At 47.0% G+C, this 25,029-nt stretch overlaps 1 protein-coding gene across 7 annotated transcripts in view, besides 6 other annotated features; it reads right to left on the reverse strand.

Moving 5' to 3' along the window:
- The window catches only part of SFMBT2 (Scm like with four mbt domains 2), a 252,867-nt gene extending 231,003 nt beyond the window's left edge, over window positions 1–21,864 (reverse strand). For 2 of the 7 annotated variants that reach the window (NM_001387890.1, NM_001387889.1), the window contains exon 1: window positions 21,235–21,408. The gene's annotated coding sequence lies outside the window, so the exon portion shown is untranslated. Of the gene's footprint in view, window positions 1–15,856; window positions 16,121–19,106; window positions 19,145–19,235; window positions 19,256–19,675; window positions 19,716–21,234; window positions 21,409–21,718 lie in introns of those variants that run through there. The other 5 variants (NM_001029880.3, NM_001018039.1, XM_047425568.1 and 2 more) reach the window with 5 other exon arrangements.
- Window positions 18,283–19,178: an enhancer, noted in NCBI's record as "H3K4me1 hESC enhancer chr10:7449871-7450766 (GRCh37/hg19 assembly coordinates)". NCBI's record gives its function as "activates a minimal SCP1, AML or CMV promoter by ChIP-STARR-seq in naive H9 embryonic stem cells {active_cell/tissue: H9 hESC(naive)}" and the evidence as "EXISTENCE:reporter gene assay evidence [ECO:0000049][PMID:30033119]".
- Window positions 18,726–19,065: a silencer, noted in NCBI's record as "silent region_2111". NCBI's record gives its function as "represses an Ori minimal core promoter by ATAC-STARR-seq in GM12878 lymphoblastoid cells {active_cell/tissue: GM12878}" and the evidence as "EXISTENCE:reporter gene assay evidence [ECO:0000049][PMID:35858748]".
- Window positions 19,226–19,305: an enhancer, noted in NCBI's record as "active region_2975". NCBI's record gives its function as "activates an Ori minimal core promoter by ATAC-STARR-seq in GM12878 lymphoblastoid cells {active_cell/tissue: GM12878}" and the evidence as "EXISTENCE:reporter gene assay evidence [ECO:0000049][PMID:35858748]".
- Window positions 21,282–21,421: a silencer, noted in NCBI's record as "silent region_2112". NCBI's record gives its function as "represses an Ori minimal core promoter by ATAC-STARR-seq in GM12878 lymphoblastoid cells {active_cell/tissue: GM12878}" and the evidence as "EXISTENCE:reporter gene assay evidence [ECO:0000049][PMID:35858748]".
- Window positions 21,657–22,577: an enhancer, noted in NCBI's record as "H3K4me1 hESC enhancer chr10:7453245-7454165 (GRCh37/hg19 assembly coordinates)". NCBI's record gives its function as "activates a minimal SCP1, AML or CMV promoter by ChIP-STARR-seq in naive H9 embryonic stem cells {active_cell/tissue: H9 hESC(naive)}" and the evidence as "EXISTENCE:reporter gene assay evidence [ECO:0000049][PMID:30033119]".
- Window positions 22,578–23,497: an enhancer, noted in NCBI's record as "H3K4me1 hESC enhancer chr10:7454166-7455085 (GRCh37/hg19 assembly coordinates)". NCBI's record gives its function as "activates a minimal SCP1, AML or CMV promoter by ChIP-STARR-seq in naive H9 embryonic stem cells {active_cell/tissue: H9 hESC(naive)}" and the evidence as "EXISTENCE:reporter gene assay evidence [ECO:0000049][PMID:30033119]".

Genomic DNA, 25,029 nt, shown 5'->3' on the forward strand with positions numbered 1-25,029 from the left:
TTGGACCAGTGAAAAGAACAGAGAGCTTGCAGAATAAGGGAATAACAAGCTATGTGGCTGTGTGACATAAACAAATTACTTAACCTCTCTACTCCTTGAATTTCTCATCAGTTCAATCAGAAAGCTTGATGAGATGCAATCACCCCTTTCAAATCTAAAATTTTATCAATCCAGGTGTTATTATGATTCATTGTACATTTTCTGCATTCAGATTATCCCTTTATGTTTGAAGCAAATTTAATACAATAAGCATCCTCCCCTCTCAACCCTATCTTTCCTTCTCCTTTCACTTGAGGTATAGTCAAAGAATAGAGTAATGCTAGCACAGGCTAAGCAAAGCCTTGTTAGGAAGAACACGAGTGAGAAAGAACATGCATTAGATATTACTCTTCAACTAGCCAAACATAACTGGGGGCTCATTATCTATGTTGAATGCATCTAGACCAGCACTGCCTGATCTATATCTGCTTGGTCCAGTACAGTAACCACTAGCCACACGTTGGCTACAGTGCACTGGAAGCGTATCTAGTACTGTTGAGGACCTGAATTTTAATTTTAATGACCTTGAATTGAACTAGGCACATGTGGGTAGAAGGTGGGCAGCCCAGCAAGCCACTGCACTGGAGAGCCGTATTTGAGGGCTTGGAACATGTCCTAAACAACCATCAATTCTTGGCTGTCTTAAAAGTTTTAATGTAATAATGTCAAGCTAGTTAAAACTCATGAATTTTTAAATCTAAGAAACTTCAAAAGGAGACTTAACAGTTTCCCCCTAATATTCCACAAATGATTCACGGCAAACTTCCTAACACAGCATAGGTTTTTATTAAATCAGCTGCATTTTTATATCAATGGAAAATGTCAAAGGAGAAACATCTTAGAAACTATTACGTGTGTCATACAAAGACTATTTGCTTTTTTTCATTCATTTATAAATTCAGGAAAATCATTCCGCCTCAAAAATGTAGTCATGTACCAAGTTTTTCTATAAAGAAAAAAAAGTCCATGAATATGGCTATTAATAAATCAGTTAAATGTCAGTGGCTTATAGACACTTATTAAAAGGGGAAAAGTTTGCTCAAGTCTTATGACTCCTCATTACCCATTTGCCTCTAACTAGACACTACAGAACAGTAATCTGAGACTGTAAAATTTAAATGCATCAAATCAATCATTTTAAATAGAACTCAAGGCCTGGTGCGTTGGCTCATGCCGGTAATCCCAGCACTTTGGGAAGCTGAAGCAGAAGGATCACCTGAGGTCAGGAGTTCGAGACTAGCCTGACCAACATGGTGAAACCCCATCTCCACTAAAAATACAAAAATTAGCAGGGCTTGGTGGCACGTGTCTGTCATCCCAGCTACTTGAGAGGCTGAGGCAGGAGAATCACTTGAACCTGAGAGGCTAAGGTTGCAGTGAGCTGAGATCGCACCATTGCACTCCAGCCTGGGCAACAGAGTGAGACTCCGACTCACTCAGTCAATCAATCAATCAATCAATAAAACTGAAGAGTAATAATACAAAGACCAACAAGAAAGCCACTGAAAGAGTAGCACAGTGGCTGGGCGTGGTGGCTCACGCCTGTAATCCCAGCACTTTGGAAGCCCAAGGCGGGTGGATCACGAGGTCAGGAGTTTGAGACCAGCCTGACCAACATGGTGAAACCCTGTCTCTATTAAGAATAGAAAAATTAGCCGGGCATGGTGGCACGTGCGTATAATCCCAGCTACTCGGGAGGCTGAGGCAGGAGAATCGCTTGAACCCAGGAGGTGGAGGTTGTGGTGAGCCAAGATAGCGCTACTGCACTCCAGCCTGGGCAACAGAGCGAGACTCTGTCTCAAAAAAAAAAAAAAAAACAGTAGCAGAGTGAAAGCTCACATGACTCTGGAGGGCAATGGCCGTGCCACTGGAAGACTTCCCCCTACGTCCACCCAGGTGACTGCAAAATTGATTCACTTTGCAAACGATGTGTCCCACTTTGACTTTTTCAACAACATTTAGTTTTTTCCTTCCTATAAGAGATAGACATGCTCTTGGTAGAAATCTTGAAAAGTAAAATTATAAAGAAAGAAATTAAAATCACTTGTAATTCTAATACTCAGTGATAATCAATTTTATGTTTCTATAGTATCTCCTCCTGATAGTTTCTCTGTGGATTTTGTTGTTGTTGTTTAGTTCACAGAGAATTCGGAATTCCAATCCATTTTTTCATTTTGCATTACACAGAAGGAATTTCTCGCGTCATTAAGATTCTCTGAAAACATGACTTGAAATGGTTGGATAATTTTTATTATAAAATGAATAAGGTCATGTATTTACCATGCCTCTGCTGCCGCCCATTAAAGCTGTTTATATTATTTTTTCACCATGGTAAGTAGCACTCTAGTCACGACTCTCAGTCAGAAATCCTACATCTCTGATGTCTCCTTAATGTAGAATCCCAGAAGTTAAATTATAGGGTCAAAAATATGGGGACACAGTTGAGGCTCATGACCCCCCTGAAAACATGCTCTCAAGTCCGCTAAGCTGGTTTACTAGCAGGGCAGGAGAAAACATCTAAACCCTTTATACCTTTTCTTTATTTGACATTCAAAAAATAGTATCCTGCCTGGGTGCGGTGGCTCACGCCTGTAATCCCAACACTTTGGGAGGCCGAGGTGGGCGGATCACTTGAGCTCAGGAGTTCAAGACCAGCCTGGGCAACATGCAGAAACTCAGTCTCTACTAAAAATGCAAAAATTAGCCAGGAGTGGTGGCACACACCTGTAATCCCAGCTACTCAGGAGGCTGAGGCAGGAGAATCGCTTGAACCCAGGAGGCAGAGGTTGCAGTGAGCTGAGATTGCACCACTGCACTCCAGCCTGGACAAAGAGCGAGACTCCGTCTCAAAGGAAAAAAAAAAATAGTATCCTGCCACTGTAATTTGTAATTCACCTGTTGATGCCTCTTTCACTTCCTTCCCATATTTAAACTACGTTGGTATCTGTGATGGATTTTTAAGAGATCTAGATTATTTTATCTCACAAAACTATTGCAAATATTTTTCCCAGTCTACCTTTTCGTGGTTTCTTTTGACAAGAGAGAATGTTTTTCTTTTTCAACTTAGTCAGATCTATCAATTTGCTTTATTTCTTCTAAAACTTGTAAAAGGTCTTCCCCTACCCTAAGATACCAGAAGTCTAACTTTTTTGGGATTTCAAGTTTTACATTCACTGTTTTAACATACAGGGAATTTACACTCAAATATTTCATCAGTTACACCTCTCAGTTCATCCTCCTCACAATTAAACAATCCACTCCTATCTCATTAGATGTTTATATCCTGTCTATCCTATATATACAAGTATGTGGATAGATTATATATATATATATATATATATATATATATATATATATATATATATATATAATTTTTTTTTTTTTGAGACAAGAGTCTTGCTCCGTCGCCCAGGCTGGAATGCAGTGGTGTGATCTCAGCTCACTCAACCTCCGCCTCCCAGTTCAAGTGATTCTCCTGCCTCAGCCTCCCGAGTAGCTGGGATTACACGTGCATGTAACCACACCTGGCTAATGTTTGTATTTTTCGTAGAGACGGCATTTTGCCATGTTGGTCAGGCTGGTCTCAAACTCCTGACCTCAGGTGATCCACCCGTCTTGGCCTCCCAAAGTGCTGGGATTACAGACATGAGTCACCATGCCCGGCCTCATATATTATATTCTTACACATACAAGGCTGTTTCAGTTCACCAAACTTTCATTCAATAAGAAAAGTCGAAGGAACAGAAACTCTGCATACTGTTCACATACCCCTCTAGTTAAACAATAATTAAATTGGGGTCATTTAAGGTAGGTTTGCAAAGGGACAGCAGTGATTTTTTGCAGTCTCTAATGACTTTGTCGTCCCAGGCATTCTACTGTGAGCAGAACATACCTGAAAGTGCACACAGGTAGAAATCACTGTGGCAGAGGCTGCTAACTCCACCACCCCTGAATCTGTCTTCTACTTTGTCTACAGTAAGGAGTAACTGGCTGACCAAAACAACATTGCCCAGCTTTCCTTGTGGTTAGATGAATTCAAGTCACTAAGTTCTGCTAATGGGAGGTGTACGGGATTCACGTGTCCAACTACACGGTGGAAGGGGCATGCCTTTGCCCTCTGACCCCTAGACCTAGGATCACCCAGCTGATTGTCCCCATGAACAGCAAAACAGAAGATACAGGGACTTGGTCCTGAGACTATAAGGCTGCTCTGCCAGCTCCAGGCCACTACATCAGAGGAAAATAAGCCACTCTCTTGTTGATGCCACTCTAACTTTGGGTCGCTGATACACAGCCAATCCCAAATCCTAACAACTGTATCCTAGAAGTATTGTGATTTTTTTTTTCTTTAATTTGAGAAAGGGTCTCACTCTGTCGCCCAGGCTGGAGTGCAGTGCTTCGATCTCGGCTCACTGCCTCCGCCTCCCGGGTTCAAGAGATCCTCCTAACTCAGCCTCTCAAGTAGCTGGGATTACAGGCGCGCCACCATGTCTGGTAGAGACGGGGTTTCACCATGTTGCCCAGGCTGGTCTCGAATTCGTGGGCTCAAGCAATCCACCCACCAGCACGCCCAGTGAGATGATTTTTTATATCAGAGTTACATCTGCATATAATTTTGAAAGCCAAATATTCTCTATAAGGCCTGTGCGTCGATGCCCACCCCTAAAAATCAAACCCAGTCATCTCCTGCCCTTCTCCCGCGTCCCCATCTCCTGCTTGGGGACCACTTTTGCTCTCTCAGCCGACTGTTCTGGCATTCCTCTCCACTCTCTGGGGAACACGCCACTTCCTAGTTCTTCCATATCTGTCATTATTAGGTGATGCCTACTGGTCACATGACCCCCACCCCCCAACAACTCCCCGACACGCTCACCCCCCTGGCAGCTCCCACTGCGTCCTTAGGTCTCTGCAAACACGCCAGGAGTGACTACTCTCAGTGCACACAACTCTCCCCTGTCATTAATAATGGTCTTGCTTATTCCAAGGCCTTCATTTTCTATGTATTTATCACCAATTCAAATCCAAATTTTTCATAAACTGTCTAAAGCACCTGTCCATAAATTGAGGTATATAGGTACTGCTTTCATTTCATCTTGAAGCAATGTCTACTGGGGCCTTCCTTTCTGCTATAATCTACACGAACTGCTTCTCTGCCTGGGACACCAATGTTAGCCTGCAGTCTCACCTCCCCTCCCTCTGTTACACAGAGGGCCTCTTGTCTGCTTCTCTCTTAGTGTCTGGCTCCTGATGAAGAAACACACCCTCCAACAGATTCCTAAGAAAGGATTTATGTGGAAACTCTGGATGGGTGGTGTGTCTTTAACCTATTCTATTTCACCACTAGTGTAGGTGGGTAGAGAATGCTACGTTGGGCCGGGCACAGTGGCTCATGTCTGTAATCCCAGCACTCTGGGAAGCCAAGGTGGGTGGATTACCTGAGGTCAGGAGTTCGAGACCAGTCTGGCCAACATAATGAAACCTCGTCTCTACTAAACATACAAAAGCTAGCCCAGCGTGGTGGCGCGCACCTGTAATCCCAGCTACTCAGGAGGTGGAGGCTGCAGTGAGCAGCCACTGCACTGCAGCCTGGGTGACAGAGCAAGATTCCACCTTGGAGGAAAAAAAAAGAATTCTACGTTGGAAAAACGTCCTCCCTCAGAATCTTGAGGGCTTCCCTCCATGGCCGTCTGGCTTCCATCGCTGAAGTGTCTGATGCTGTCCTAATTAGGGGACTTTTTGACATTTCTGAAATCTCACAATAATGTGCCTGGTGGCACCCTAGTGGTGAGTGACTTCTTTCAAGATTGAAATTCAGGTTCTTCAGCTCTAGGATATTTTCTTGAATTATTGCTAATTTCCTCATCTCCGTTTTCTCTTTCATTCTAAGAGTCATTCAAATGCTAGACTTCTTCAATTTCCTTAATTTTCCCCTTTACCTTCTATCACTTTATTTTGTTTAATCCACCATCTGGGATATTTCCTCAACTTTCTCTCTAACCCTTCCATTGAGTTTTACATTTTAATTTCTAAAAGCTCTTTTTTTTTTTTTTTAATGCTTGTAACAGTCTCCATTTTCATCCTATCCTGTTTTTGTTATGTGGATGTAAAATTTTCTATTATATCCCTAAGGCTATGAATGTTTTTCAGATTTTCTTCTCTCCTTCATAGACGTTATGTTTCTCTCTGTTAGTTCTGGTGTCTACTTTTATATTACTGCTTACCTTAGTAGTCTAGTAATTCGTAGATGTTTGCTGATGTTGCAGAGTAGGAAATTAAAAGGCTGACTGGGCCAGGTGAGGTGGCTCACACGTGTAATCCCAGCACTTTGGGAGGCTAAGGCAGGAGGATCAGCTGAAGTTAGGAGTTCGAGACCAGCCTGGCCAACATGGTGAAACCCTGCCTCTACTAAAAGTACAAAAATTAACCAGGTGTGGTGGTGGGCACCTGTAATTCCAGCTACTAGGGAGGCTGGAATTACAGGATTCTCAAGGGAGAATCGCTTGAACCCAGGAGATGGAGGTTGCAGTGAGCCAAGATTGCGCCACTGCGCTACAGCCTGGGCGACAGAGCGAGACTGTCTCAAACAAGACAAAACAAAGGCTGACTGGTATCTCTGAGCACACAGTGGAGGTTGTTATGTATAGAGATCTGCCGGGTCATCCAGGGAGGAAACCCCAACGTTAGTGAATTTAAGACTTTTCTGTTAGTTGGTCAAATTACACAGAAAAGGACTCCTCATTTTCCAGTACATAAATGCCTACAGTTTCCCGCCCACTGTCACTGATTTAGAATCCGGCATCCCAAACAGACACAATCAGTTTCTTCCCCAATATTAGGCAAATTTGGGTAGAAGAAAGATCTCCCTCTTAAATTCAAAGCAATAAAGATAAGTCCAGTTCCAACTTCAGATTTCCAGTTATAAGAGTTCATAAATTCTCTCCTTCCCTTATGCTAATTCTAACATAGCATTTTCCACTTTGTTTTTGTCTTATTAGACACAAGAAATGTAAAACTATCATTGTGCATATACACCATGGAATCCTATGCAGTCATAAAAAAGGATGAGTTCATGTCCTTTGTAGGGACATGGATGAAGCTGGGAAGCATCATTCTGAGCAAACTATCGCAAAGGCAGAAAACCAAACACCGCATGTTCTCACTCATAGGTGGGAACTGAACAATGAGAACACTTGGACACAGGGTGGGGAACATCACACACTGGGGCCTGTCGTGGGGTGGGGGGATGGGGGGAGGGGGGAGGGATAGCATTAGGAGATATACCTAATGTAAATGACGAGTTAATGGGTGCAGCACACCAACATGGCACATGTATACATATGTAACAAACCTGCACGTTGTGCACATGTACCCTAGAACTTAAAGTATAATAAAAATAAAAAATAAAATAAACTATCATTGTGCAATTGGAATCATCCAAACTCAAGTGAAAAAGTGAAACTTTAAACTGTGATAACAAAGCTACATAAGCATTAGAAATCATTCTCATCTCCATTCATCAGGTCCCCCCAGGCTCACTGCTGAGGAAGGACTCACTACAGTGAAAGCCACCAATGACTCAGACCTTCCAAACTGATCTGCCTTCAAGAGGTCCAAGAAAATGGCATTTGTGCTAAGTAATAACATACTCAATTTCAGGCTTGCCACTCTGCAAAGGGAAAGGGCTTGCGGTTGTTTGTTGTTGTTTTTTTGTTTTTTTTTTTAATGACTCAGAAAAGATAATATTCTCCCAATCAAAATAAAATATGAAGGTCTAAGCGAAAAGCTTGTGAAATTCCAGACATGCTGTAGCCACCCTTGGAAATCTAGCACGTCTAAATCAAAGAGAAAGCTGTCTCATTTCACACTCCAGGAATTTCAAAATGAGCACAGGCATCTATGCTGAGACCTTTCAAAATATTTCAATCAAAATGGAAAAATCTCAAAGGATTCTGAAAAGAGGTACCACCAAATTTTGAGCCGAATCTTGGTCTCTGAAAATCACTGTTTCCATGTTCCTAAGAAGCAGCATACAAGCAACAGCCCGGAATCGCAGCAGTACCAGGAAGAACCGCATCTGTAAATGGCTTTGAAGATGAAGCGCCGTGTTAAGTGCCAAGCACTATTATCAACGCGAGCTTTCTTCTATTTATACTCGCCCCGTCAGCCGGGTCACTCTGCTAATAATATCTGACTAAGTACATCTCTCCCCCACTCTCACCAGCCAACTAAGAAGAGACAAGCCCTGCCTCATCCCATCATCAAGTGAGACGAGCTGATTGTTCGGGGCAGGAGTTCACCTTGCCATCCGCCATATGCTCAGAGCTTGATTTACCTTGATTAGGACAGCAATTTACTCACCATTTTTCAACCAGGCTTACATTGGTTTCCACTCAAAATAGATTGAAATCTGACACAAATTGCTGCCCTGGCATAAGAAATGCTAATTTCTTAAATCAGATTCATGCCTCAATACTAGGAAATAAGATCTACTGGGGATAATAGGCACTCTAGGAGTAAATACCTCCTATTCACACAATAACATTCAGTGTCTTCTAATTCATGGTTTTCACTGTCACCTCTTAACCTCCCAATCAAACAATGTATATTGCCCAAGAGCATAAGGTGAACAAATCAGTTGTTCAAAAATGGGCATGTGCAAAATGAGAAAAACAAGAGGCTTCCAAGTTAGTTGCTCAGGAGGAGAAAACAAAGTGCACCATCTTGAAAGTCGGTTTATTTACTCTTTGCCAACAAATTATTTATTTACTATAAAGAAGGATGAAGTTTTACAATACCCAATTAAATACTACAACACAACAGGTCTTTGCATCAAGGTACTTCTTGTACCAGATATTTACACCCAAGCCACAAAGGTCATTCCCATCCTTAGCTAAGCAGAAGACTGAGTTTGGTCAAAGGGCCTTTTTTTTTATTTTTGTGGGTACATGGTGTAAATGGGGCCTTATTTAAAATGCAGCAGTTTTAGAATTAGCAGAGATGTAGTCACACTGGGTTCAAACCTATTGGACAAACCCTACATACAGGATTTCTCTGTCCCTTATAAATATTAAAAGGAATAAATTAGAGCATCCCCCCAGGTTTGTAAAAAGAGCTAAGTAAACCTTATATTCCCCAAAATATTTGTGTAATGCATTACATACAAATGCAGATAAGTCATTTTAAGTAGATCATGTGTTGTCCATACCGCCATGAGACTCAAAAAGTAAAGAAACTTACAAGGAAGGCTTCTGTAAGCCAGACATGCATGGATAATGCCTAATTAGGGCATAATTTTCTGGGTGGATTTTAAGAATTGATCACTTCAAGCCAAACAAACGCACAGCAATGATGCTTGAGAGGTGCCACAATGTCCAAAATACCAAAAGAAGTTATTCTCCCACTGTCAACCAAAATACCAATAACGAAGAGATGAAGAGTCCCAACACTGTGAAGATATCAGCCAGCGGGAAACCCTCGCCTGTGGAGCCCTGCACTCCTGCATTGTAGCTGGAGATTCCTACAACTGGAGTGCATAGATATCTCCTATCCACCAAGTTTTTTGGGGTTTTGTTTTGTTTTTTTTTTGAGACGGAGTCTCGCTCTGTCACCCAGGCTGGAGTGCAGTGGCGTGATCTTGGTTCACTGCAACCTCTGCCTCCTGGGTTCAAGCGATTCTCCTGCCTCAGCCTCCCAAGTACCTGGGATTACAGGCGCCCACCACTATGCCCAGCTAATTTTTTATTTTTAGTAGAGACGGGGTTTCACCATGTTGGCCAGGCTAGTCTTGAACTCCTGACCTCAAGTGATCTGCCTGCCTCAGCCTCCCAAAGTGCTGGGATTACAGGCGTGAGCCACTGCGCCCAGCCTATCCACCAAATTTTATAAATTATATCATTTAAGTGCATGAAGGAAGTTTACTAGAGTCTTCCTGAAAATCATTATATAAAGTAAATAAAAACACCCTCACTTACTATGGTCAGTAAAGAACTTGGAAAATGTGCAGGACTCGGCAGGAGGCCTGCGTCCATATGGTAACTAACGTCTTATCAGGCACCAGAATGTGCTCCTGGCCTTTAAGTGCCCCAAGCAACACTGTCCTCAGCTGCAAAAAGAAGGGACTGTTCTAGAAGCTTCCTCACTCTCATCTCCCACTCAAGCATGTCAGGGAAGGTAGGTTTCCACTCACCTTCCTTGTTAAAACCAAGAGGATGTGGTAGGAGGAAACAATAGAGCATCCACTAGGATGGAACAGAGACTGAAAGAAGGGAATAGTCACCATGGTCTGAGCCAGATCACAAAAGCTTTCATCAAAAAGGTGGATCTGAGCCAGGTCTGGAGAAAACTGTGATGTTTGACAAGCCGGAGGAATGGGAGGCTCCTCCAGGCTAAGGGGCAGGCAGGGTGAGCTCAGCCTCTCTGGTCCCAGAGCCTGCACTGGGAAATGGGCAGGAGAACCTGAAAAATATGTAGTGGCCAGTTGACACGTGGCCCTGAGTGCCCAGCTGGCTATTCAAAGACCTAATCTCATCACTTGTACAAGGCCACTGAAGTTCACAGCGGTAGAGGGAGGAAGAGGGAAAGAGGATGTTCTGCACTTTCCAGCTCTCTGGGAAGCGCACAGCACAGTTCAGTCAGTCTTAAAGGCAATGAATGACAAGGACCAAATCCCAAGCTTCACCGTAAACACTGTCTGTTTCTGTACAAGGCCATCTCCTTCTCCAAGCAGCAGGGTGGAGGGCTGTGATGGTTATCTCTCATTCCAGGGTTGGCTATCTTTCAATAATTGTCCCACAGAGGGTAGATTAGGGAGAAGGCGAGAAGAGAAAAAAACGCCAAATTACTCCACAGCTGTCGGCTTCTATGAAGTTGATGGCATCCAGCGGTTGGCATCTCCTCACCTAAAGGCAGGGGGCACAGGCTTGGCAGGGATTAGCTCCTCCAGGCCGTCAGGCCTCCCAGGCTCTTGAAAGCTGTCAGCTTCAACAGCAAACCCTGGCAGCTGCATTTGGCCGAACTTCTTTTCCTTTTAATTAGCACAGGGACATGAGAATGCTTCTCAGAAGAGCCCTGCCTGGCTTGGGGCCTCCTCTGCTGCCTCCTCCACTCAGTTAGAAAAGCCCTGTCCTTGGGAAGTCTCAAGGATCTCACCTGCCACAGAGCAAACATCTCAAAAAGCATCCCCCCCGGCCAGGCGCGGTGGTTCGCGCCTGTAATCCCAGCACTTCAGGAAGCCGAGGCGGGCGGATTACCTGAGGTCAGGAGTTCAAGACCAGCCTGGTCAACATGGTGAAACCCCGTCTCTACTAAAAATACAAAAATTAGCCAGGCATGGTGGCACATGCCTGTAATCCCAGCTACTTGGGAGGCTGAGGCAGGAGAATTGCTTGAGCCCGGGAAATGGAGATTGCAACGAGCCGAGATCGTGCCACTGCACTCCAGCCTGGCCAACAGAGTGAGACTCCGTCATAAAAAAAAAATAAAAATAAAAAGCATCCCCTCCAAAAAGAGCCCGAGTGGTAAGTCTCTCAAGCACGCACCTTTTTACGCACTTGGGACCTTAAAAGGCTCCTTTTCATTAGGTCAATGGGAAAATTAAGGCTGAGGCTGCAAGTGAGATGAGGAAAGACCAAACATGTAGGATACAGACTACACCTCTCAACCATAACATTCGTGTTGACCTTCTCTGAGCAAATACATCCAGGTCAAAGGACACAACAGGATTCAACCCACAGCTTCCAGCACACGGAGCTGGAGGAGTGATCTTAACACCTCCTGTTTGTTTATAAATACAATATGTACTATGAAAGAACAATTATGATTAAAGTATCTCCACAGGCAGATAAAGTTTAACTTAGGGAATTAAAACCAACGATGAAAGTAATTGACAAAAGAAGGAGGCTGCCCAGAAAGTAAACGTTGCCCTCTGATGTCCTCACGCCTATTCATGAACTCTGCCCTCTGGTTCAGACATCCACAGGGTGATGGGCTCAGGATCAACCCTGATCTTCCTCCCCAAAACCTCCTTCCAAAGACTCCTCTTTCCCACTTCTCTGTGCTTAGGAAGGTGAACTCAGTCTCTTCCTGCAGGTACAAATGCAAACACTACCATCATCCAAGCTAAATTTTGGCAGTGTGCTTTTCGTTCTATGCCCTTGACTTTTTCTGTGGCTAACTCCACAGTGCGCCATTCCACGGGACATTTCTCCACGTGTTCCGCACAACCATGCATCTCATTCCAACAGAATACCAACTGCAGGCTATTTAGAACGGTCTCCTACGAATGTCTGTCTTTAATTGAAGAACTGCAACCTAAGCCATGTACCAATTGGTACCATTTATATCCAGTGACAGATATAATGCAGACAGGAGACGGAGAGCTCTTGCATTGCCAGGGAGTAGTTCTGTTTGGTACACAGGCAAGATGGTGACTACTGAGTATTTAACATTAAAAAAAAAAAAAAAGCCCACCTGGAAAGAAATGTCCTTTCCAATCTGGAGATAGGAAAAAATAAAAATGACTCCAGATACAAATGCTTCCTCTATAGTTGTGAAGTGTGTACCTTGTAAAAGAATCAGAGAGATTTTTCTCTAATGAAAAGATAGTATATTTGTCCCAGTGCCAAAAGCTTAAGTAAACATGTCTTCCGCCTTTTAAAGCAGGTTTTTAAACTATACTTGTGCCTAGCAAATATTCTATTCTGCCATCCATCGCAGGAAAAATCAAATATAGAGGAGGGTGAAGATGAAAGGGATTAGCCGGGGTCACACCAAAAGCCCTAAACCAGAAATGGGGTTTCTGAATTCCCAGGACTTGGTTTACTCCAACCATCAAACTATGGTTTATTTATAATACCCCAAATTTAGTGCACTTTCTAAAAATAATACCAACTGTGAAAATTCAGCCACTTCAATTTGGCAAAATTTGACTTTTTCCCTGGTCCATTAAAAGAAGTAGAGTTATTTTCCACCAATATAGAGCAAGAGCCTTTGATTCTCCACCTTCATAGTCCCAGACCAACAGTACCACGGAAGGGGTCTACAAGCAGCTGGCAAGACTGAGGAGGCACAAAACTGTGTGTACCTGGGACTCGCAAAAAGAGCAGCTGTGGTGTCAGTCTTCAGTTTTCTACATGAAAAGGAAATAATCCAATAAAAGACCAAAAACTAAAGTTCACTCTAAAATGTCCTCATCAGTGGCCAACACTGTTTAGAAGGAAAAATTCTAGCTCTCTTCCCCCAGCTTTCGATAGTGTCTTCTTCATTTCTCCCAAAGGCTTTTATTTAAAACATATTCTTACCTACATTCAGGGGGAGAAAACTGATTTATATTGAAACCAATTATTTTCTAATCAAGATGAAATTTCAGAAATTCAACACTTTTCAAATCTTAAATGGTCAGTTCATACGACAGTAAACAACATTGTGTCCTAACTGAGCATCTGCACTTATACATTTAAAAACAGTAATGTAAGCTTCATTGAAAAGCTCTGCTCTCCCACAGCCATCTGAACGAAAAACAAAAAGAGAACAATCTAGTCTTACCCCATTTCAAAATTAACTACTAAACACAAACCCTATTAGAATGACCCTGTATAACCTCTCCAAAGACTCAATCAAACTCCTTATCAATAAAATAAATATAACAGCCCCCACCTACAAAAATTAAGTAAGTGAATGGTTTAAAGTGCTAGGCAAGACCAGGCATGGTTGCTCACACCTGGAATTCCAGCACTTTGGGAGGCTGAGGCGGGAGGATCACTTGAGGTCAGGAGTTCAACACCAGCCTGGCCAACATGGTGAAACCCCATCTCCACTAAAAACAGAAAATTAGCTGGGTGTGGTGGTGTGCGCCTGTAGTTCCAGCTACTTGGGAGGCTGAGGGGGGAGAATTGCTTGAACCCAGGAGCCAGAGGTCGCAATGAGCCGAGATCGCAGCACTGCACTCCAGCCTGGATGACAGAGCCAAAGTCTGTCTCAAAATAAGTAAATAAATAAAAATAAATAAAGTGCTACACAAGTATCTCACATACAGTAGTAAGCAATCAAGAGGTTACAATCTTAAGACAATGTATAAGACTAGGATTTCAAATCTAGCTCTCTCTCCTGCTGGCTGGTGCTCTGGGCAAGTAACTCAAGCTCTCTAATGCCTGTTTCCTCTGTAAAAGGAGGATGACAAAACTCTCCTAAAATAGATGAAATATAAATATGAAGCAACAAGAAGAGTCACTGGCCAACAGCAGATATTTAAATAAGCAGCTTTTTTTTATTTTTAAAAGTATTTGAAGGACTGGATTGGAATGCTCCTAACACAAAGAAATGATACATGCTTGAGGTAATGGATCCCAACGACCCTGATTTGATCATTCCACACTGTATGCTTGTATCGAAATATCACATGCACCCCACACATATGTATGATTAGTATGTATCCATAAAAGCTTCTTAAACATCTAAAAATATTTTTAAAATAAAGAGTATTTGGAGTAAACAGGTAATTTCATATCAGATTAATTCACAATCCTTTCACTGCTAAATCTCTAGACCTACAATCCAAATGTCCCATTCCTTGCAGGTGCTCATTTAAGTTATACCTAAAACAAGACTTTGTAGGAACCTAGAGTTGGAATTCCACACTCTTGTATCATACCTTAAAGTATTCAGTTCATATAGTAGTGTTGATTGAAATGGAGGGGAAAGAAAACAACTTGCCAAGTTTGGCAGAAAGCAGGGAAGGCATACCTTAATATCTGTTTATAAGACATCTTTTTCTTGGCCAATAAAACTACAGGGAAAAACTCACAAGATGAAAACCTGCCGCTTCTCCCCCATGTCCCACACCTCCATACACTTCCTGTCTAATCACAGTTGCTAACATTATTTGTCCTACTTTGCAGAAGTCACCAAATGCTTAGGAAGCCCTGGATCTATCAAAATGTGTCATTTTTGCTTTTCAGAAAATGAGAAAGGAATGAAACAGAAAAACGCAATGGATTCTTTCTTTAATCAATGTCAAAGACATCTATCTCATCACATGAATGGAAGCCTAGACGTGTCATCTCATCAATAACCTGAGAGACCCTAACCATCAGTGCATATTGACATATTACCGCTTTTGCTTTTTAAAATTTACTACAGGCCAACCAGATGGGAAGTGTTAAGGTGGCATCTTCTCATCAGCACAGTGATGAACTGATCATGCAAAACCAATCCTGAAGGATTTTACTTGGAAACATTACATGAATCATGTGACACATTCTTTCTTATACTAAAAGTTCTAAGCAGACTATCTTCCCTTCCTTACAATACAGTCTTACAGTCTTGTAAACATCTTATTTACACTTGACTTAAACATAGAGCCAACACTTGTTTTAGCCAACGAGAGTATTTTTCTTAGGAATTGTCCCAGAAATTTTTAGTCTAACAAAGAGAGGAAGACCTGCCCAGCGGCCAAACCTGAACCCTAGGAACGGAAAACCTTGAACTTCAGAGTGGATGCTCACACTCACTTGCTGGCTACCAGAAGGCTGCAATCATCATCCATATCATAAACATGGACCCATGAGGTCCAAGCACCCTCCCATCTGGAATGGTGGGGTACACTGTGCTATCTGGAAGAGTCTCTTTGAGCCTGGAAATTATTAGAACAAGATGACATCAGGTGTTTCCTCATGGCTTGTATTCAAAGGCACACTGCTCTAACCCAGTCCATACCTTTATGGGGTTATGTGGGAAGGCCACATATGTATAAGCCTCCATCTTCTCTACCCTTCGCCTTTTCCAGAGCACAGATGAAAACACGACCCCATGTGGAGCTTACCTCACTTAACAATAGCACTTTACTCTGCAGCAGGGACCCACAGCTCAGCTGCTGCCTTCACAAGCACGGTTGCACATGGATGTCACCTAAGGCCAGTCAGGTTTTCATTATCCTTTAGGGGAACATGAGTATGAAAGATGAATCTCTTGGGCCTATCTGCATAGATGTACTGAATCACAGATGTATTTTTCCCAGATAGAAGCACAGTGATCATTGAGTGACATTCCAGGCTAGCACCTTTATTTTGTAGATAAGGAGGTTGAGGCTGAGAAAGATGACTCACTTGTCCCAGATCCCACAGCTGAACAGAACCATGTCCACCTACACACTAGGCCCGATTCCCCCCCCGACCCCCGCTCTCTCTGTCAGGAATCTTCCTTAGCAGCTAGTGTTAACACATCCTGGATCACCAAACTGAATACACACATTGACTTCCTGGTTTGTTGTGACGCATAATTTCCCAACTTTTTTTTTTTTTTAATTTGTATGATGGGGGCAATAAGTTGCTGCTGAGGCAACATAGATATAAGAATGGTTAGAAAAACCACAAAATGCATCCTGAATTACAGGTCCCAATGCCATTTTGGTACAAAAACCTTTATGACTTCTTACTTTAGGGCAGAGTAAAATTTCCTTCTGACCACTGCACCCATGAACCTCAAAAGTACAGAGTAATAAAATATAAAGAGAGAAATGTCCAACCCTAGTATACTAGAACTGTAGGTCATTCAAATCCCACAGTGAACTATTTTTGTTCAAATTATTTAAAAAAAGAAAAAGAAAAAGAAAACTCTGATAATCTGACAAAAATTTTTAGGCATAAGTGTAGGGCCTGGGGAGAGTAAATTTCCTTTACGGACTTCTTAGATCCCAAAAGTATCCTGTATCAATTACATAGAACCTCATTTTCTTACTGCTCAAAGCAATGCTTCCATCGCTCACTATTTCTTCTCAAATGTGGGAGTCCTTTGGGGGCAGTGGTTAAAAAAAAAAAAAAAAGCCACCTTAGCTAGAGTGGGCAGCAATGGAAAAATGGATAAGTGTTTAGTACTCCCAGGAAAGCTTTATGATGAAAACGAAACAGGGAAGAGTCAGGAACCTTTTCTGGCTTTTTAAAAGTCTTGACTTTTAAGTCAAGAATCGTGAAGCCAGTTATTTATAACAACCAATGTTAAAAAAAATAGTCTATAATGTCTGCAAGAACGCAGGAAGAGGAAAAACTCTGCGATGTATGACTTCCATCATTACTGAAACGCATCTCCAGCAGGACCTGCTGTTTGAGGTTCAGGATGGATGTATCCCAATGGGAAATGGGAAACAGTTCCCACCTCAGCAGGCCTCCACCGGCACTTCTACAGCAACACACATCAGAACAGAGTGGATGACCACTCTCTATTCCAGGATGGGGGCTGCGAGACCCCCGGCTCGGGGCAGTGTTCTGCACCGGCCCAAGAATGGGTCCTGCAAGCAGTAAACTCTTTGGTGGGGACCTAGAGGGTTGGCGGGGGGGGAGGGAAGTGGAGAAGTGCGTGGGTGTCTCCCACTCTCTTGCAGGCAGGCAGCTTGGTCCCAGCAAGAGCAAAGATAAGATCTGAGACGGTATTTATTTATGGAAGGGAGAAAGCAGAGTGTGTGCAAATTTAATGCTTAGTAGGGAAAAAGCAGGAGACCTCCTATCTCCAGGGCGGGCCTAGGGAACAATTCCTGCTGAGCAACAACGCCTCTCCCCTCCCCCACCCCACTTACCCGCTCAACTCCCTCCCCACCCCCAACAGCCTCCCCAGGAAACGAGGCCACATTTAAGCCTGTTTTCTCCTTTTCTCCGACCTGCTGGAACATGGGTTCTTTCCCTTGGTGTAGACACGCTAGTAGGTCTCCCAGTTCCCTTCTCTACGGTGCAAGAGTGGAGGGGGGATGGAGAGTGGTGGGCAGCGGCAACCGAGCCAGATCCAAGAGGGGTCGGCCTCGTCTAAATTGGTTTCCCACCAATGGCCTCGGATCAGCCGCGGCTGTGCTGCGGGAGCCCTCAGGACGCGGCTGGGGTTGGTGCGCGGGGCCCCGGAACCCCAAACCCGGCTCGGTTCGGCAAGGTTCAGGGAGACAAGGTAGAGAAGGCTGGGGTGAGCGAGAAGTCGGGCGGCCGATCGTCAGGGCCACGAGCCTCGCCTTGCCTTCTTGGAATCCCACCCAACTTTAAAGGCCCAAAGATCCTGAAAATTCCGAAAGCGAAACTGCGAGCTGGTCTCCAGAAGTTTGAGAACGGTCTCCCAGGCTTTCCAGCGTCGTCCCGGGATTCTCGGACACCACAAACGCCATCAACCACGAGCACCGGTGTCCGTGGCTATTGCCCCGAATGGTCCCCATCCGCGTCCCCGGGAACTCCCTCGGCTTTTCGCGCATCCAGGTCCCCAGCCCCAGCTACTGGTGCGCCCCGAGCCCCTAGGTGCCAGAGCGGTGGTCGGCCGGGCTCCTGCCCAGTCTCGGCTCCTCCCTCCTCCCCACCAGAAGGAAAAACTTGGGCCCTTCGAGAACCCTGTGGAATGTTCTTTGTAATCAACTGTACATCCGCTTCCACGGCACGGCCTCGTGCAAAATCGCGGGTTTCGGGGCCTTGGAGCAAATTGCGCTTGTCAGCGGCGACGTCAGGAGGACAAGGGGAGGGGTTCGCGGCTGAAACTGCAGCTTCGCAGCACAGAGCCATTTTAGGCTGCTCCCCACCTCGCGGGGCCCATGGGAAAGCCGGCCCCGGGAGGGCGCGCCCAAACGCAGGCTGGAGGAGCCACGGACGCGTCCTGGCCGGCGTGTCGCCATCGTTCAGCCTCGCTGCCCAGGTGGGAGGGGTCACCTGCCGCGGGGTCTCCAAGCCAGTGCCGCTTGCTCCCGGCCCCCACCCACTGACAGCACGGCGTCCGAGTGACCCTGTCTAGCCTCGTTCTGCGCTCCTGCAAACCACGTTGCTGCGCTAACTACAAACCTGGCCAACATGTCTTTGTAACCCTATCATTTAAAAACGCTTCCAGGCACCTGGCCGCTGCCAGATCAGGTTCGCGGGCCCGGAGGAGGTCCTCCCACCTGCCCCCGCCAGCCCCGGGGACCGTGCGCGGCCTCCGTGTGGCCCCCGCCCACGAGGTCCCTCGGGCAGGAACCGCCGCGCGACCTCTGTTCAGCGGCCGCGTCCTGGCCACGGGCGACCCCTGTCGGGAACCCTGTTCCCGGCTAAGCTGCGTTCCCGCATTCCGGTGGCTCTCACCCGAGCTCGCGTTTGCTGGCTTTCCCTCTGGCTCCTCTGCCTGACCCCGATTTTGTCTCCGAACTCCACTCCCAGATCCTCCCCGCCCTGGAACGCCGACCTTTCCCCCGCACTTCGCCGCCCACTCACATCCCCCGGCGACTGCCCGGCCTCCATGCCCGCCAAGACAAGAAGATGCCCCTCTCCGATGCGCCGAGAGGGTTCCTAAGCCGAGCAAGGGACAATTTCTTCCCCAAACGCTGTCCCCATCCCCCACCTTCCCTAGAGCGCGAAACCCAAAAGTAAGGAAGGCAACCCCTCGCCTCGACCCTACGTGCTTGTCTCCCAGAGCCGCGCGCTCCCGCCCTTCTGCCCCACCCCACCACCACCACCACCACTTTGGTCTTCTCCAAGCTTCGGTCCCGGTCCCCCACCTCCCACCCCAGAGCGGCGTGGAGGAAAGCAGGAGCCCACTATTAAGTGCAGCGCGCCCCCTGCACACACGAAATCCGGCTGGCGTCTGCAGCCCGATTGCACCCAATACCCGGGACAGTTAGTCCTTTTAATAAGCACCTCCTCGCCCCACCTACTCGGGGATCTACCCGCGCAGGATCCAGCACACACAAGGCGAGAGCTAGCTCGTCTCCTAGAAAGACAAAATAAATCACTCCCTCTGCCCTCATGTACTTTACACCACGTGTCCGCAGTTTGTCACGTCAAATCATGGCAGGGTCTGGTTCCAAGACGCACACACACATTCGGGGTGGTTCTCTTTGACACACACACCCAAAAAAACTGCGCACACGCAGGCCTGCACACTAATCCACAGGCACACACGACAGTTGCGTTTCGGTGCCCTGGTCCGGGCCAGGGGCACTTCTCCATCCCTTTCCCCCCTAGCAATGGACTTGACACACAGACTCTAACCACGGAAAAAAAAAACCGGACAGCCCATTCCTTCTTTTTTTCCCCACTTAATTCGCTAAAGCGCTTCCTGGGGTAGCCAAAGAGAGTCGAAACTAAGGGGTGGAAACTTCAGCTGGGTTTTTTCCCACCTCAAAACCTTTATTTTCAGTTTTTAAAAGCCACCTTAGCCCGCCATATTGAAACTGGCACGGTTTCTAAAGACTCCTTCCCCGCAGTTGTGGCGCTTCCAAGAAAACACGAGTACGGATCAGGCTCTGGATGAGTGTCCGGCCACCGAGAATCAGCCACTTCCCACCCTCCAGGATCCCCCAGCTCCCTCCAGCCCCTTCCCACCGCCCCTGGTCAAAATCAATAAATACATCTCGCAGTTCCTACAGTTGCATTTTGGCGGATTTCTGCAAAACATACACACACATACACATACCCACGCACGCATATTAAAAAATAAACTCCAGAACCAGCTCAAGTCAGCAATTTTGAAAGGGGGTCGAATAAGAGGAGACAACCGGAAAGCCCCTAAGTGACAGGATATTACTTTAAAGAGAAAATAATGAACAAAAAGACCATCCTCGCTGGAGCACGCTCCAAAACTACTACTGCCAATTTTATTTCAGTTGCTCAGGCAAATGTTTCCAAGGGAGCGATTCCGAATGTCTGCACGATTTTTACCCCCATGCCGGTCTCCGATTCCCCGTCCTCACCATCTTTTTCTCCCACCCAAACCAAAAGAAAGGGGAGACCCCAGCGCGGAGGAGACGCGGGAGCGCGGGGTAGGTAGCAGCGGCGGCTGCGTCGCTAAAATGAGTGCAGAAACGAGGAAGGTGGGCGGCGGGAGGGGACAGGCTGCGCCCGGGGAAGGAGGACACTTTGCAACTCCGGACGGACTCCCGCACGGCTCGGCTTTTCCGAGCCCGGAGACGCAGGCGAAGGGGACCCGGGAAGCAAAAATGACAACCTGGAGCGCACAGAGGAGTTTGAAGCTTCGCTCAAGTGCAGTCGCTTTCTTCTCCTGCCCTTCTCTTTCGCTCCCCTGCACCCTCCCCAGCCTTCCCCCACCCGCCACCTCCAACCCCAGCTCCCTCAGGCTTCCTTCCTTTTTTTTTTTTTCCTTTTTTTTCCTAGGCTGGAAAAAGCCCCTGACCAGCGCACTCAACCTGCGGGCCGAAGGGCTGCTCTCCGGCCAGCCTGGGCGCCGGGGACAGCAGCCGGCGCGGCGTCCTACCTGGTGAAGTTCGTCCTGCCCTCGGCGTGGACCCAGGCCCCGGTCGCCGCCCGGGAGGGCACCGGCCTCGCTCGCTTGCTCGCTCGCCCGCCCTTGCCCGCTCGCTCCCCGCCCGCCGCCTCCCTCGCGCGCCCGCTCCGGTCCTCCGGCTCCCACTACAGCTCATTCCAATATGGCATCCTCTCTGTGCGCATGCTCGGCGCTCTTTTTTTTTTTTTTTTTTTTTTTTTTTTAAGATTTTGTGTGTGTGTGTATGTGTGTGCGTGCGCGTGCAGCGAACTCCTTCAACGACCTTTTCCAGCGCTTGCAAAATTTCTTAAGCCAATTAGCCTGCGGGACGTGATCGGCTCCTTCCCCAGCCAGCTCCGCGCCATTCCCTGCGCCTAAGCAGGCGGGCACCCCCAGGACCCTGGGACCTTCCACGCCCACGCGGCCTCCTCCCCACCGCGCTCCCCTTCCTCCTTTTTGTGAGCTCCCTCCATACATGATCTGCAGAAAGTTCCCATCGCGGGCGTTTCCGCACACCCCTCCGCAAGGACAACTGGGCAAACTCCCGTTTCCCTGGCTGCGGTTCGTGAGCTGGGTTTCCAATGGCTCAGTCGACCGTGTGCACAAACTTGCGCTTTATCCGCCGGGGATCGCTGGGAGCGGAGATAAATTCAATCCCCAGGGCAATCTTGGCCCCGCCCGCCCCACCCCATCCTGTGCTTAAATAGAGCCTTTCTTGAAGCTGCGAACATTTCCAGGCCCCTTGGGCAGGGCTGGAGGGGCCGAGGAGAGCTATTCGAGGGAAAGGTGCCCCGAGGGGCAGGAAATTAAGTTGGGGCTGCCCGGGCGAGCTGCCAGGTAGCCGTGCTCGCCACGGCGTCTCATGGGGCACCTAGCTAGTGGCGGGCCTCATAGGGCGGGAAAAGAATCGTCGCTCACACCCCAGCAAAACGTGGCCCTCGACGGTCCGTTGGAGAGCCCCGGCGGCCGTGAGCCCCGGGCAGGGCTGGACGTCTGCGGAGCCCTCGGGCACTTTGTCCCGGGCGCCTGGGGAGGAACGCGGAGCTCCCAGGGCCTTAGGTGCAACGGCTGCGCAGAGCCCAAACGAAATGTCCCCAGTGCGGAAAAGCCGGTGACGCCCTGGTAGCAAGACCAAGAGCTTCCGAAGAACGCTGCGCCCTTAACTAGGGGGCCTCGCAGAGATGCCTGTGTGGGCCTGCATTGTATATTTCTGCGAAATAGCGAATGGACACGTTTGCTCAGGGTTTTTATGGTTGCCAAAGGGGGTAAAATTACCCAGTCCCCCAAATCTGTGTCCCATGAATCCCTCTCATAGTACCCCTCTCCAGGGGGCCAAGAGGTCCTCCAGGTCCCCGTGGGTTCGCAGCTCCACCCGCCCTTCCTCGCCCTGCATCCCTAAGGAGAGGTGTCCGCTCTGAAGGGCTAGGGGCCAGCCATGGAGTGAGGGGACCGGGGCTGACCACGCGCGGCACAGACAGAGGTCCTCAGGCGGGCCCTCTCCTGGACGGTGGGGCCGGAGCTGATCTAGAAGAAATACGGAGGGACGTGCCGAGAAGCCGCTCTCCTTCGCCGCGACCCTGGAGAGCGCCTCTCCACCCAAAGGATCTGCCGAGCTGAGAGATCCAGGGCGGGCGTCCGCAGCCGTGAGGCCCCCTGCGCCGCCAGTATGGGAAGATCCTGCCTCCTTACACCTTGGAGAACGCTGGGCGACGACTAAAGCGCCTTCCGCCGGCCTGTCACTCCATGTGACACAGGAGCCACGTGAGACCCAGAAGAGTCCAGCGACTCGCCGCGCGGCGCACTTTAAACTCTAGCCTGAGTCTGCGACCCCTCCAGCTCTCCAGTCCCCAGCTGTTGGGGACATCAAGCCGGAGCCCTGGGCTCTCTGCCCTGTGGGTCGCTGAAAGCAGAGACTCCTCAAACCAACCGAACCGGGCGCATTAACCCTCTCGCCTGCACCCCGCTGCCTCCCGGTTGAGCCCCGAGGCGGCTCCAGGTAGAACCTGCTGGACTGACTGCGGCGTCCAGAAATCTGGAGTGTGGGCTCCAGACACTCTCCACGGTTTGGCCCCGGGTCTCAACACCCAAGTCGCCTCTTCTGGCTCCTTCACCACACAGCGGGGCCTGTGGAAAGGGAGGGGCCGAGAGACCCGTCGGCGCACCACTGTCCTCGAGGGGTCCCCACCCTGTGCACTGCTGAAGCGCAGGGCGCGCCGCGGCAGGAATGGCCCCGAGTGCGGATCCCCTGCCCTGAGCCTCCCACTCTTGGCCCGCGCTGCGCCTACCCAGTGGCCCTGGCCCCGCAGGGCGACAGCGGCTGCTCCCTCCCATTTGCGTCCCAGACCGCGCGGCCTCGCTTAGCTCCCGGGAGCCGACAGGCGCTTGCCCTGGTGCCAGCGCAGGGCTTCCCGGGGGCTTGGGGTAGGGGTAGGGGTGCGGGGGGGAAGGGGAGAACGTAATTTCCTTCTGCAGGAGTCGTGGAGACGTGAGCTGCAACCAGCCACCGCGCTCTCTCCAGGCTTGTTTACCAGTTTTAGGTCATCATTGTGCACGAAACATTCTTTCATCCAAATAAAAGCAAATGCAGAAGAACACCTGATCCCAAACAGTGTATGACTGCGTTCATTATCTTACCTGGTTACTCCGAAGGAGTTGAATTTTTTTAATGTTTTGGGTACGTAGACCCCGTATAATTTTGCTCCTGGGTCCACAAAATGGTGATTTTGGGGGAGGGTTACCTATCGTGATTAAGAAATATAATCAGGAAGTCGCAGCACACAAAGGTGGCATTGTTATTGTAAAAAAAAACTCCTTCCCTCCTATTTTTGTGTTGCTTTTTGCACGTGACTTTTTGAAGATTCCTTGATTTTCTTTTCTGCAACCGACCTCCATTCTCTTTTATCCAAGGGCACCAATGAGGCAAATGAAAATTGGTTAGGAGATTCCCTGAGGCAATTCAAGTGGCCCCTTCATCCCACTTCAATACCTTTCCACTTTCATTTTTATTTCAGAACCAGACACTTTAGGGATATATACCCAGATGTAGGTTGCACCCTAAATCAATTAAAGGTAGGAAAAAATTCCACATAGTCAGCAAAGGATAACGCACTGACAAAAATTGTGACTGCTTTTTTAAAGTAAAGAAGGCTTATGCACTCCAGCTCAAACAGGGTCATGAAAATCTCATTATCAACACAAGATTTTTCTCTATACTGTTAATATTTACTAAAAATCTTGGCCAAAATAAGCCTTTGATCACACTAACTATAGATATTATTTCACTCCTAAACTTTGCTTAAGCCATGAATTTCATCACTCTACAGATCAAGTTATCCCTTCACAGGGACTTTGGAATTCTTTAACATAAATGGGGCTAATTGGTTAATTGTAAAATATTTAGATGCTATTCCATTTGTCTAATGATACAGCACAAATTAGAAATATAAAATAACAATTGAAAAGTTTTTGTCTCATTTTCCTTATATTCCTAAGCATTACATCACAAAAACTATTGCAGAGGAGTTGAAAAATTATATGTGTACTATTTATTCTCTTTATATTTAGGACATGTGATTACTTAAATCTTGTTGCATTAGTCGTACCCAAGAAAAATGTTCAATTTGTACATACCTAGTCCATGTTTAAGTTATCACTTCCCACTGGGAAAAGGAAATGAACCAAAGAAAATAGAAGATAAACCATTATGCTTTCTTAATATAGAGACTCCCTAATGAACCATTAGACATACTAGCCTAACAGGAAAGCAGAAGGAGGAGAAAAAGAGGC

The sequence above is a fragment of the Homo sapiens genome, chromosome 10 (genome assembly GCF_000001405.40).
Source record: "Homo sapiens chromosome 10, GRCh38.p14 Primary Assembly".
NCBI classification, from domain to species: domain Eukaryota; kingdom Metazoa; phylum Chordata; class Mammalia; order Primates; family Hominidae; genus Homo; species Homo sapiens.